Source organism: Homo sapiens, chromosome 20, assembly GCF_000001405.40.
Source record: "Homo sapiens chromosome 20, GRCh38.p14 Primary Assembly".
NCBI classification, from domain to species: Eukaryota; Metazoa; Chordata; class Mammalia; order Primates; family Hominidae; genus Homo; species Homo sapiens.
Window position 1 is genome coordinate 61,378,996 of NC_000020.11, and position 14,114 is coordinate 61,393,109.

The 14,114-nt window shown below is 46.3% G+C and overlaps 1 protein-coding gene across 3 annotated transcripts in view, besides 3 other annotated features; it reads left to right on the forward strand.

Annotated features, from left to right (window-relative positions):
* The window catches only part of CDH4 (cadherin 4), a 688,357-nt gene that overhangs the window by 126,735 nt on the left and 547,508 nt on the right, over positions 1 to 14,114 (forward strand). The gene's annotated exons all lie outside the window — the stretch shown is intronic.
* Positions 10,847 to 12,046: an enhancer, noted in NCBI's record as "CDK7 strongly-dependent group 2 enhancer chr20:59964898-59966097 (GRCh37/hg19 assembly coordinates)". NCBI's record gives its function as "activates an origin of replication core promoter dependent on BRD2, BRD4, P300/CBP, MED14 and CDK7 cofactors, with strong dependence on CDK7, by STARR-seq in HCT116 cells {active_cell/tissue: HCT116}" and the evidence as "EXISTENCE:reporter gene assay evidence [ECO:0000049][PMID:35650434]".
* Positions 11,130 to 11,631: an enhancer, noted in NCBI's record as "H3K4me1 hESC enhancer chr20:59965181-59965682 (GRCh37/hg19 assembly coordinates)". NCBI's record gives its function as "activates a minimal SCP1, AML or CMV promoter by ChIP-STARR-seq in naive H9 embryonic stem cells {active_cell/tissue: H9 hESC(naive)}" and the evidence as "EXISTENCE:reporter gene assay evidence [ECO:0000049][PMID:30033119]".
* Positions 12,816 to 13,415: an enhancer, noted in NCBI's record as "H3K4me1 hESC enhancer chr20:59966867-59967466 (GRCh37/hg19 assembly coordinates)". NCBI's record gives its function as "activates a minimal SCP1, AML or CMV promoter by ChIP-STARR-seq in naive H9 embryonic stem cells {active_cell/tissue: H9 hESC(naive)}" and the evidence as "EXISTENCE:reporter gene assay evidence [ECO:0000049][PMID:30033119]".

Sequence of the window (14,114 nt, forward strand, 5' to 3'; positions counted from 1 at the left end):
GTTTGACTTTAAGCAAGTTTGCAATCATTCTGAGCCCAAGGTTTCTGTTTTCCACCTATGCAAAAGGGAGCGTGAGAATGCCGGGTAGGGGGTTGGGAAAATTAAATGAGATTGTATGAATGAAACTGGGCACGTGGCCTGCCTGACAAGTGGTAAGTGTAATTCCTCTTAACAGACTAACACCAGGGTGTGAAAACATAATCCATTCCAAGATCTGCTCCTCGGAAGGGTCTGAGGATGAGATACAGAGGATGCACGTGGTTTTGGAGTGAGTGCCTTGGCTGTGGGGTGCTGGGTCTCAGTGAGGTCTTGGGAATGCTCTGCTCTCACGGTCACTAACAGGGCAGCAGTGGCATGGAGTCCCCTTAATTGACAGACAACCACGTAGAGTCATCCTGTACTTCTCGCTGTAAATACCAAGCAGGATGGAATAGTTAGAGCCGTGACTTTCACAGTTATTGAAGTTAATCCAACATCCGAATCTGTGTAGGGAAGTCCTGAAGGTCATTAAGAAAATTCAGAACCTCATCTTCCCAAGCCAGCGGCTGCAGGGAGGTGGCCTGTGGGGCTTTTGGTCTTTAAATCCTCTGCCTCACCCCTATTGTCCAGTATAACCATCACACTTTCTGAAATCCACAAATGGAGGGGAGGGAGGTTACTGAAATGCTTCATTTAAATGCACTGATTCGACAAAGAATTTTTCTAAGGAGCAGTAGAAAAATGGCCAGGACATTCTTTCCTGTTCCCACGGTTTAACCAACTCTACCCAAGGCTCCTGTGCTCAACTGTTCTTTGTTTCAATTCCCGCTGCAAGTTTTAGAGGTGAAGTGTCAACTCCAGGGATATTAAACAAAAATAAAAATGACTCAAAAATAGGTAGCATTGCTTAGAGCAGAGACAAATCATTCAAAGAAAATATCACACTATCACTGGCCTTTGTTTAAAGTGAAGAGTTAGGCAGATAAGGATTGTGTAGATAATTTTGTTGCAGACTTTTTTTACAAAGACTAATTTGACATTGTCCTGGGAAGCTGTCCCTTTGAATATTCAACAAAAGCAAGGATGCATAGGGAGAGATGGTGTTGAGCATATTATTTTGCATAATTTATGCTCAGTGACAGCCACTGCCTGCTTCACTTCATCAGACATTTAGGGGGAGACTGCTCGATGCTTCAAATCTCATTAAGCTATTTATTCATTGTAATGAATGATTTTAATGTACTGCATTAAGGTTATGCCACACTGAACTGTTAAAAAAATCCATCTTACTATACACATTTTAATGTTTGCAGCTAAATTAATACCTTTATGACTGCCTCAATGGTTGAATGGACACCATTTGCAGATGAATCACACTCTACACTCATCCCCGTTTTACCCAGTTCTGGGCCATGGCCTGATAGAGTTGTGATCATCTCTGTGTATCCATATCCGTGGACAGATAGATGAGTGATCGGGTTTGTGTGAACTCTGATAATTCACAGGCTTTCCCTTCCACGGCGCTCCCACCAACAACACCATCCTACAAACCCCCCTGCCCCCTCCCACCTGTTTTCACCCCTCCCTCGATCCATCAAGATGTCAGCAAGTTGCGATGATGAGAAGATAATATCTTTCGGGAGGATGAAAGGCAGTTCTAATAAAAAGCTGTCATTCACAAACTCAGACCCACTGTCACACGATATGCATTTTAAAGACCATATGAACTGTTAAATGGCTCAATATGGCAGCCCGCATGGTTGTTACAACTTGGAGATCTTTCATGATGCTGAAAGAGGGTGTGGGACTTATTGCAGCTTCGGCAAATGAAAGGTTTGAGGTTCTACAAAGAAATATGTCATCTGTGTTCTGTTGCATCCGAAGTATTTCTCCTGCCTCTGCTCAAGATGTCATCAGAAATACTCACCCTTAGCAGGGGAAGATGTGGGAAAATTTAGATGACATAAAAATACTGGAGTATCATCCTTTATAATCTAGCAAATATTTGAAAACTACAAGCTACGCAGCGTGACATAGTCCCTGTCTGAATTCGGCAGATGGAAATTCAGAGTGTTATTTTGCAAGGGAAGGTTATCTGGTCATAGGATGGCACATTTTAAATTTGGGAGAAGGAAGAGAGACCAGCTCCCCTAGCCTGTATGGAGTAGTGATCTCGAATGAGGCTCGGGGTGCCTGCGCTCCTTAATGCGTCTTCCAAAGAAGCTGTCAAGTGTCCTGCCTTGAAAGGTCACCAGGACGTTTGTGATTGACTCTTGATAGGAGTTGCTGCTTATTTCTGTAGATGATATCACCAGGGCCCAATCAGGGACTCAAGTTCTGAAATGTAAGGAAGAATAAGTTCTTTGGGAGAAAGTAAGTGCAGAAAATCATAGACAGCTGTTTTGGGCTTGTCTTAGCCTGTGCGGAAATAATTAGTTCATTGCACATAACCTAGCAGTTTACGATTAACAAAAACATCCACTTAGCAAGGAGATTTTTTTTCAGTTTTTGAAGAGGATAAATGAACCAAGGAAAGAACATGTGACCCTTTCCCCATCCCTGCGTGCCTTCTCCCTTCTCAGGATGCCTTGAAGCTCAACAAAAACTGTACACGCTATGATGGAACGCTGCTCTAAAGCCATAGGGCAGTCCGCAGAATGTCCCCCCTTGGAAGATTTGAGCCACCAGTTAACCCCCCCACCTAAGGAATATCAATTACTCACTTTCCCACCCCAATTTGGCCTTTGCATAATCTACTACCAGAGAAACACTTTGATCACATGACACCTTTCAGAAAACTATTTAAAAAGATAACTGTTGGCCAGGTGTAGTGGCTCACACCTGTAATCCTAGCACTTTGAGAAGCTGGGCGGGTGGATCACCTGAGCTCAGGAGTTCGAGGCCAGCCTGGCCAACATGGTGAAACCCCATCTCTACTAAAAATACAAAAGATTAGCCAGGCATGGTGGCAGGCACCTGTAATCCCAGCTACTTGGGAGGCTGAGGCAGGAGAATTGTTTGAACCTGGGAGGCAGAAGTTGCAGTGAGCTGAGACCATGCCACTGCACTCCAGCCTGGAAAACAAGAAAAAAACTCCATCTCAAAAATAAAAATAAAAATAATTAAAATAAAAAGATCACTGTTCTGAGCAGAAATGTTTAATGGAAAGGATACCTGATACCTGTGGCATCATGTTTCATTTAACTAGAGGCTTAAACGTAAAAATAAGAAATGAGAACTATAAACAAAGCTTACTTGATGCCTATTGACTGCCTGGCCGCCTAATGGAATGCTCAAATGCAGCAGCTCTAACTTATTATGGAAAGGTAGGTGGTGTGAGGTAGGGATCGTTTCTTCATCAGGATGAAGAGCAGAGCGAGAGAGCCTTATGCCAAGAGGAAAGGTGGGTGAAACACACATGGTGAACATGCACATGGAAGACCCTGGCATGGGGGACCCCTGGGAGTGGACCTCCCATGAGCAGGTGTTCCTGGTGTCTCTGCCATGGGCCCTCCTGAAAAGGCAGAGTAAGTGACACCTTCTATTGGCTTCCCAGGGCTGTTGTGACAAATTACTACAAACTAGGGGACTTAAAACCACAGGGACTTATCTTTTCACAGTTCTGGAGACCAGAAGTCTGAAATGCAGGTGCGAGCAGGGCCATGTTCCCCCTGAAGCTTCCGGGGAGGCCCCTGCCTCACGTCTTCCAGCCTTGGGCGGCCATGTCATTCCAGGCTTTGCCTCTGTCTTCATGTGGTTCTCCTCGGGTGCACCTCCATGGCCTTCTCCCTTCTTGAGAGGTCACCTATCATCAGAAATACTCAGTGCCAGGGAGTTAGAGCCCACCCTAAGTCCAGAATGATCTCATCCCAGGATCCTTAATGTCATTACATCTGCAAAGACCCATTTTTCCAAATAAGCTCACATTTCCAGGTAACTAGGGTTAGGATATAGACATGTTTTTTTGCAGAGGGGAGGACACAAGTCAATCGGTACACAGACAAAAAAAACCAATCACTGTGTATCATGGTGGGGGAGTGTATTAGTCACAGTTCTCTAGAGGGACAGAACTAATGGAATATATATAATTCATATATATATAATATATATATGAATATATATATGAATATATTATATATAGAATATATATGAATATATTATATATATGAATATATATGAATATATTATATATATGAATATATTTATGAATATATATGAATATATTTATATATGAATATATATGAATATATTATATATATGAATATATATGATTATATATGAATATATGTGATATATATGAATATATGATATATATGAATATATGTGATATATATGAATATATGTGATATATATGAATATATGTGATATATATGAATATATATGGATATATATGAATATATATGGATATATATGAATATATGATATATATGAATATATATGATATATATGATATATATCATATATGAATATATATTCATATATATGAAGATATATATGAATATATATGATATATATGAAATATATTATATATGATATATATGAATATGTATGAATATATATGAATATATATGAATATATATGATATATGATATATGATATATATGAATATATATGAATATATGATATATATGATATATATGAATATATGATATATATCATATATGAATATGTATGAATGTATATATTATATATGATATATATGAATGTATATGATATATGATATATATGAATGTATATGATATATGATATATAAATATATGATATATATGAAGATATATGCATATATATGAAGATATATATGCATATATATGAAGATATATATGCATATATATGAAGATATATATGCGTATATATGAAGATATATATGCGTATATATGAAGATATATATGCGTATATATGAAGATATATGAATATGTATGAGTTTATTAAGTATTAACTCACACAATCACGAGGTCCCACAATAGGCCATCTGCAGGCTGAGAAGCAAGGAGAGCCAGTTCGAGTTCCAAAACTGAAGCACCTGGAGTCTGATGTTTGAGAGCAGGAAGCATTCAGCACGGGAGAAAGATGAAGGCTGAGAGGCTAGGCCAGTCTCTCTCTTCACATTTTTCTGCCTGCTTATATTTTAGCTGTGCTGGCAGCTGATTAAATGGTGCCCACCCAGACTGAGGGTGGGTCTGCCTTTCCCAGCCCATTGACTCAAATGTTAATCTCCTTTGGTAACACCCTCACAGACATACCCAGGATCAGTACTTTGTATCCTTCAATCCAACTAGGTTGACACCCAGTATTAACCATCACAGGTGGGGATATTGGGAATCACACCAGGAGGAACCATGAGTGTAGAGACAGGGTCTCCCCACAGAGCATGGAACCCAGGTCAGCCCCAACTGAGACTAGCACCAATGGGGGTGCTAAAGATCTGGCCTCTTACTCAGGCCCTGGCAGGATAGAGAAGGCCGTGCTTCCACAGCGTGGTCTGGCATTTACTGTGCTGCTGTCCATCTGGAAGCTGGTGACCTGGATGTGTGGTTTGTCCTGCAAACCAGTCTTTTCTGAACATCTGCCCCAATGTCTCAGCACTTCTCATCCCACCCTCTGCGTCTTCTACCCTTTTCTTTCTAATCCCTTAGTCTCTCTCTACCACATTCTAAACAGTTTCTTCTGACTTGCCTTCCAATTCACCAATTCTCTCATCAGCAATGTCAGCTCAGCTACTAATCCTACCCATTAAGTTTTAAATTATAAATTCTCTATTTTTCACTTCTGGGGGTTCTCTTTCATTAATTTTCAGCTTCTTTTTTTATACTTTTCTGTTCTTTGAAGTTATTTTCTAGGTCATTAAACAAATCTCTTTAAACATAATAAGCATAGGTATTTCAGACTCTAAGTCTGATCCCTCTCAGTCCTGATGTTTGCAGTTCTGATTCTATTGTCTGAGGTTTCTACTTGTTCTAGCTCATAGTGTAATCATATCTAACTCTGAGCTACTCGTTTGCCATGGGATATCACTGGTGAGAATCTTCCTACGATGAGGATGTGTGTCTCCAGGGAGGTTTTGCATTAGCGATTGCCAAGCCCTAGGGGCGTTTTCAGTTTGGAACTGCTTTAAACTGAGTTTGAACTTGGGGTTCTACCGGCACCAACTAGGTGTGGTGAATGTGGCCTCCATCCTCTCCGAACAGTACTCCTACCCTCTGCTCCACTGAGCCACCTTCCCTAAAGCCTCTGGAAGTGGCAGGAGGAGGGACTAGGGTTTAACCTTATACGGAGGATGTGCACTTTGAAGTGGCAGCGTTCTGCGATCTGTCTCCTACAAGACCATCCACCTGGATGGGCCCCAGGCTTTGTCTTCTTTCCCCACAACCAACCCCTTCCCTTCCCTTCCAAGACCATGAGATGAACGCTCAGATCAGGAGGTTGGCAAATCCCCTGGACAAGAACAGCTGAATTCATTGTGCCACTGACGAAATCCCCGCCGCCCCCCGCCCCCTTGGATTGTGGTCTCAAGAATTCTTGAACGCTTCCTGTCTGTTCAGCTCATCTTAGCCTTAATGCAGCATGTCCAGCTGTCCCTGCCTGCGTTGGTTCAAATTTCTGCCCTACCATATTGCCAAACGCGTGACTAGCCTCCTCTGCAGGGACTGGTTCCTGCTCTCCTGCCTCCTCTCCCGTTATCTTCTGTTGCTGTCCACGCTGTATCCAGGCTGGCTGTAGCTTCTCCACACGCCAGGTTCCCAGGCTCAGGATCGTCACAGATGCCTTTTCCACCAACGGGAATCACCATCTTCTCTTCGTGGGAGAAGCCGTACTCCCCTCCTGCCCACCTTTAAACTTTAACGTAGGTGTCATTTACTCAAAGAGCCCCCGAGTGCCCAGGCCTCCTGTTCACCTTGATCTCTGCACTTGGCATTTGCTATGTAGATTGCAGCTGCGGTTCATGCATCATGTGGGTAAGGATTTAATGCCTGGCACCAGACTGGAGCTGAGCTGCAGGAGGTCAGGAGCCACAGTTGTCCTAGCGCCTGGGGACGCTCATGGATGTTTCTCCCGTGGCTCTGTGCTCAGCTATGCAGCTGTCGGCCAGGAGCAGACCCCCTACCTTGAAGCCTGAGCTGTCTGAGTAGTGACAAGGGTGTGTAGGGGTGAAGTTGACCCCTGTCTCATTGTTCGCCTTTCCTGGAAGAATAGACCACGTACCACTGCTGTTCGTTGTTGGGGAGGTCTTCAGCCCCTGTGGGTGCTGAGCCACAGTCGTGCTGTGCCTGGCCTCACAGCTCCTGGAAGGAACAAAACCTCTCGGTCTCCTCCAAAGGCATGGCCTCCCTGATGCTGACAGTGCTGCCCAGGATGACACCCACCCATCCATGACACCCTCCTCCAGACAGGAGACATTGGATAAGTGGATTCTCACCTCCCAGCCACCTCTCTCTCTAGGTCAACTTCTTACTCACCAGTGGTTCCACTCTGCCTTCCCCCAGCCTTCCCTGCGGAAGCCCTGGCATGCACTGAACCCGTACTGTAAGCTCTTTCCTTCTGGTGGAATGATGCGGGGGGCCTGGCCTTGAGGTCTTTGATGGGAAGATGGAGGCGGTTTGGCACCATGAGGTTAGAGAGGCTGGGTTACCTGGCTCTGCCCTTCCTAGAGAACTGCACATGGATTCTTTTATCTCTGAAATGTGTTATGTTCCCCTGGGGGTGACGGTGTCTTCTCATCGGATTGTTTCAGGGTTAAGCAGGAGAGTATTGCCAAGCACTCATCACTGTGCCTAGCACACCGTCAGGTAAACCATTGCTGTCCTCGATATTTTGTGCCTTCAGGAAACAGAGAGAGGTGACCCTGCAGGTTCCAAAGGTGCTTCCTGAGAGAGGTCAAAGTTGGACCTGAAGGGTGAGGCAGATGTTCCCCGGAGCCCGGGGGGAGGAGGCGTCAGGACCGGCCCCAAGACCACACTCCGGGTCAATACATGTAGATATGTAAGCTGCCCATGGGAGGAACTCCCGCGAGTTCTGTTACCAATTTTCCACGTCTCTGAGATGAGTTTACATTACTGGGTTGGATTCTTTTTATATTTTGCAATTTTGTTTAAAAATTATAAAAATAAAATATATTCACAATTAAAAGAAAGGAAAATCCTGCAGTTCAGGATGCTGGAAGGTAAAAGATACTCACCTCTTCTCTAACCCCCCTAATATGACACACACACACACAGACACACACACACAAACCCACACACAGATCCATATATACATGCAGACAGCCACACAAACACACAGAGGCACACATACAGCCACACAAACACAAACACACAGCCACACAAACATACACATACATATACACACAGCCACACAAACACACACAGAGGCACACATACAGCTGCACAAACACAAACACACAGCCACACAAACATACACATACATATACACAGCTACACAAACACACAGAGACACACAGCCACACAAACAGAGAAACACACAGCCACACAAATATATACATACATATACACACACAGCCACACAAATATACACAGAGGCACACATATAGCCACACAAACAGAAACACACAGCCACACAAACATACACACAGACACATACAGAGACATAGACACACGCACATTTGGCCACACAAACACACACAGACAAAAAGATACACACAGACACACAAACACATCCCGATGTCCTGTTTGAGTCTGTGCTCAGGTACGTAATTAATCATCACAGTGGCTCGTGGCTCAATCTTGTCATTGGTCCACGCAAGCCTCTATTTTATAAATGTGTTTTTAATCACTCCACGGTGAAGCTTTTCCGCAGTGAGAGCACCAGACAAGCCCGCACCGGCCCGTGGCCCTGCCCCTTCCTTCCCACTCCTTCCCGGCCCCACCCCCCTCTGGCCCCGCCCCAGGTCTCCACTGCCGCCCAGATCCACTGTCTCTGTTCCCTGCTTTGCTTTCTAATGCAGTTTCATCACATCTGTGTGTTTAGCTAAAAGGTATCTCTATTTTTGGTTTGGGTTGTTTAAATTGTAATAAATGGGTGTCTATAATTTGGGGGCACTTAACAGTTTTGCATTCAATGTTGATAAGATTTATAAAGCAAACATTTTGGCCACCATATGGTATACCACTGTTTGAACTCCACAGTTTACCATCCTGCAGGGTGGAGACGGCAGGGCTGGCTGTTTCTTTGCAGTTAGAATGTGCGTGGTCCACATTTCTGCAGGCTCACAGGCAAGGGCTGTGCAGCTGTCGGCCGGGAGCAGAGCCCTGCCTTGAAGCTTGAGCTGTCGGAGTGGTGGTGGGTGGGGGTAGGGGGGTGTGGGGTTGACCCCCGTCTCACTTTTCGCCTTTCCTGGAAGAGTAGACCACATACCACTGCCCTTCATCGGCTCCAAAGTGGGGTCCCAATTTCTGCCCCTACAGCCCCTACAGCTGCACTGTGCGGCGAGCCACTTCCTGTCCCAGAAGTGGTCTCATGTCATACTTGGAAGCCTGAGCCCTCGAAGGGGTGCAGGATGATACCGTGACCCTTCTCCGATTTGCATCTTCCTGATAGCACATTAGGTTTAACATCCCCTCATAGGCTCCACTGGCCGTGAGTGTTGCCTGTGACATGCCCATTCATACCTTCTGCCCATGCTTCTATTCTGTCGTTAGCGTTTTTAAAACAACTCGGGGGTACTCTGTATTGTGCTACAGCTTGATTTTTAAAGCTAGCACAGACAGCAGGGGGATGCTGGCTACATGTGTATGGTTTGTGTATACATGTGTATGCGTGCGCAAATACATGAGTTACATTTTTATCGTGTGCTTTTTTCATTTAACAACATCTCTTAGAGCTGTTTCATGAAAACAAAGTACATCTAAAACGTAACTTCAATTATGCCGTTGTGTGAGCATAATATACTATATTTAAGCCCTTATATTCTGTTTCGATTTTTTTACATTGTAAACTGCTTTGTGATAAACAGCCTTGAAGTCCAATCTTTTCACATTTGAATTTTTCTCTCCTTAGGAGATATTTTAAGTAAGAGAAGCATGGAGTCAAAGGACATATTTTAAAAGCTTCCTTTTATGTATGGCTAAACTGATCAAGGTTTTTTGCTGGTGTTTGTTTTTGTTTTCTGAGAATGCAAACGGCTAGAGGCTGTTCTGCCAGTGGGCTGAAGTCCGTCAGCCCACAGTCCCCAGGCCCAGCCATGGCTGTGCACCTGTGTGCACTCGGAGGGGCAGGGAGGGGTGGGGGTGCAGGCTCTGCCTCCTCTTGCTCTTGGGCGGCTCGTTCCTGGCTTTTCCGCCTTGACCATGTGGCGGCCTGTCTCAGATGTTCTTTATCTTATCACATGGCATGTCCATGTGCCGCTGGGCATTTCTGGCACTTCGCACAGCTCCTAAACATCTGTTTGTCCCTGTGGTTACACATATCGCCCCCTTGTAAAAGTGAGCATGTCTTTCTGGTCCACTACAGTATTTCTCATACCTAATTCCAATGCCTGGCACACAGTAGGTGCTTTAGATATTTGTTGATTGGATTTGACAAATCCAATGTATGATTTGATTTGTATGATTGAATTTGAATGTATGATTGGATTTGACAAAGGATAGAGAAAAGACTGGGAGAACGCCTCCCAGCGTCTTCATTGTTGTTCTATAGATCGACGCTTCTCAACTGGGCCAGGAACACACGGCGATGTCTGGAGGCATTTTTCGTTGTCACATCAGGGGGTGAGAACAATTGGCACCTGGTGGGTGGGGGCTGGGGGTGCTGCGGAACATCCTGCTGTGCAAAGGGCAGACCCCACAACAAAGGATCCTCCCCAAAGTGCCCATAGCACCATGTCTGGGAAACCCCGATTGACATCGTGCAGTCATAGGGTGCCCATAGTGCCGTGTCTGGGAAACCCCGATTGAGATCGTGCGGTCATAGGGTGCCCATAGCACCATGTCTAGGAAACCCCGATTGGGTTCGTGCGGTCATAGGGTGTCCATAGTGCCGTGTCTGGGAAACCCTAAATGAGATCATGCAGTCATAGGGTGCCCATAGCACCATGTCTGGGAGACCCCGATTGAGATCGTGCAGTCATAGGGTGCCCATAGTGCCACGTCTGGGAAACCCCAGTTGAGATCGTATGGTCATAGGGTGCCCATAGTGCCATGTCTAGGAAACCCCAATTGGGTTCATGCGGTCATAAGGTGCCCATAGTGCCGTGTCTGGGAAACCCCGATTGAGATCGTGCGGTCATAGGGTGCCCATAGCACCATGTCTAGGAAACCCCAATTGGGTTCGTGCGGTCATAGGGTGCCCATAGTGCCGTGTCTGGGAAACCCCGATTGAGATCGTGCAGTCATAGGGTGCCCATAGCACCATGTCTAGGAAACCCCGATTGGGTTCGTACAGTCATAGGTTGCCCATAGTGCCGTGTCTGGGAAACCCCGATTGAGATCGTGCGGTCATAGGGTGCCCATAGCACCATGTCTAGGAAACCCCGATTGGGTTCGTACAGTCATAGGGTGCCCATAGTGCCGTGTCTGGGAAACCCCAATTGAGATCGTACGGTCATAGGGTGCCCATAGCGCCATGTCTAGGAAACCCCGATTGGGTTCGTGCGGTCATAGGGTGCCCATAGTGCCGTGTCTGGGAAACCCCAATTGAGATCGTACGGTCATAGGGTGCCCATAGTGCCGTGTCTGGGAAACCCCGATTGAGATCGTGCGGTCATAGGGTGCCCATAGCACCGTGTCTGGGAGACCCCGATTGAGATCGTGCAGTCATAGGGTGCCCATAGTGCCGTGTCTGGGAAACCCTAAATGAGATCGTGCAGTCATAGGGTGCCCATAGTGCGGTGTCTGGGAGACCCCGATTGAGATCATGAGGTCATAGGGTGCCCATAGCACCATGTCTGGGAAACCCTGAATGAGATCATGCGGTCATAGGTAATTTTCTCCTTTTTCTTTGTATTGGCTTTCCAAATTCTCTGAAATAATTTTGTAGTTAAAAAATTACTTATTAAAGAGATATTCTTCACTAATACAAGCTGGGGAAGAGGAGGCAGTGCCGCAGTGGGGGGTAGCCTGACCACAGCACACTGCTCCTGTCTGCTTCTTTTTGTCCTGCATGGGGAATTTTGGGGTGCCAGGTTGAAGGTCTGCACGCAGCCTCAGGCCTCAGAGCACTTGGACATTTGTTCTAGAAAACACCCCCAAGATGTGCCCACTCTGTGGTTTGCCAAGTAAGTGAGCCCAGGAACGCAATAATTTACTCAAGTGGACAGAATTAGTGCCATTTAGGGAGAGGGGCTGAGTGCTGTATTGAGGGGCCTGGAAGCCGTCGGGGCTGGGCTGGGTCCGGACTTGCTAAACCTATCTGATCTGACACTTGCGTCAGGAGAAAGGTGGGGGGCAGCTGGTTTTTGTGGGTGACCTGCTAGCCAGGGCACTTCCTGCGGTAGATGAGAATGTCCACCACCTGCGCCCTCCGAACCGCTTTATTGGACTAAGGGACATCGCCAGGGCTAGACACATGCCCCACCACTCTGCACGTGTGGCGTAAGGGGCTCAGCAATTGTCTAAACAGAGGAGGCTCCTTCTTAGACAGCAAAGCTGTGTGTTTTGTATCTGTTGGTCTCATTTCCTGTGGGATGTTTCCTGGTTGCAGCATGTCTGTGCTTGGTTAGTAAGACAGTTGGTCCAAAGCTCTTCTTCTCTCCCGTGGGGAATGTGAGCAGAACGATCCTTAGGTAGAAAAGCGGAGAACCAGTGCTTCTGCTTCTTTTGCGTAGGTGGACAAGAAATAACAGTGGGAGGATATTGTCTGTCCCTAATTACCTGCCCTGCATCCAATTTGCTGGTGTCAGGCAGCTTTCCTGAGGCAAGCCCTTGGGTACACTGAGACGCTAGGAGGGACAGCAGCTCCGGGGCCTGCAGGGCTCTGGGATTTTTTTCTGCCAGGTACACTTCCCCCTGCCTGCATTGTGCAGAAAGGCAAAGATGAGCAATTGGGAGAAAGACAGCCCCAGTGACTCAGCATGGAGATATTATGGGATAGGGGAGAGCTGGCTACTTCTCAACCCTTCCCCCGCCTCGCTTGCCGTGGGTTTCAGCATCGCGGGGGCTGTGGAGAAAGGCCTAGAGAGCTTTGCAGGACCAAGTGGTGGTCGGGCAGCCCGTGCTGCAGGAGGTGAACCCGGGCATGTGACACGGTCACAGGGACTCCTCCAGTGGTTTAACGTGCAGTGTGAGTGGCCTTAACACGGGACCCGGACATGCTGCCTCTGGGCTGGGGAGGGACAGGAACCCGAGGCAGATCCTTCCACCAAACGAGTGTTTTGCTGTCAGGACGCAGCCTCCCTGGAAGCAGAGGCTCCCCTGCGATTCCGCTCGGAGTCCCACGCTGCTCAGTATGCATGATCACAGGGCGCCACCGGGATGGAACGCACGGCGCCCCGACGTGATTTTCCAGAGAACTGAGTTCCTTGAATATTAAAATTAACCTTTTTTAATAACAGAAATGATATAGTCCATTGAAGTAGGGCTGGATTTATCTTATGACAGTGCTTGTCATGGCCTTGAGTATTTATTGAGTAGTTTCAAAAGTTCATTAAACTCAAGAGATTAAATATTGCCCTGAGCAGTGCCCCATAAAGGGGAAATATGGTCCTATTACTTGGTAAAATGTTGTGCTATGTTGTTAATTCAACTCCCTTGGGTTCTCATCTTCTGATTCAAAAGACATTTTCCCGTGCTGTTAAATTTGAACCTTGGACTGTTTCTCACAGTATTCATCAGAAACTCGGTATTGCACATTTATTTCCTAGCGGGGTAGAAACACTGGCCCCCCACGGTGCTCTAGAAATGTCAGATGCATTCGTCTTCCATTAGCCCCTCCACCATCCCCTGTGTCACTGCACTAAGTAAAGCCAGTGGATTGACATAAAGTCTCCCGATCAGGGAAGGAGGTGCAGATACTCACCCCGATACCCACCAAGGGCAGCCGAGCCTCCTGCTTGAGCACATGCCTTGTCGCTCAGGGCTTGACGGGATAGAAAACGTGAGGACAGAGCAGCTGCGGGGCCCCTCGGTGATCAGGGCCGTTTATTTTCCTCCTAATTTCTTACTGAATTGATTCCCACTGAATCTCTG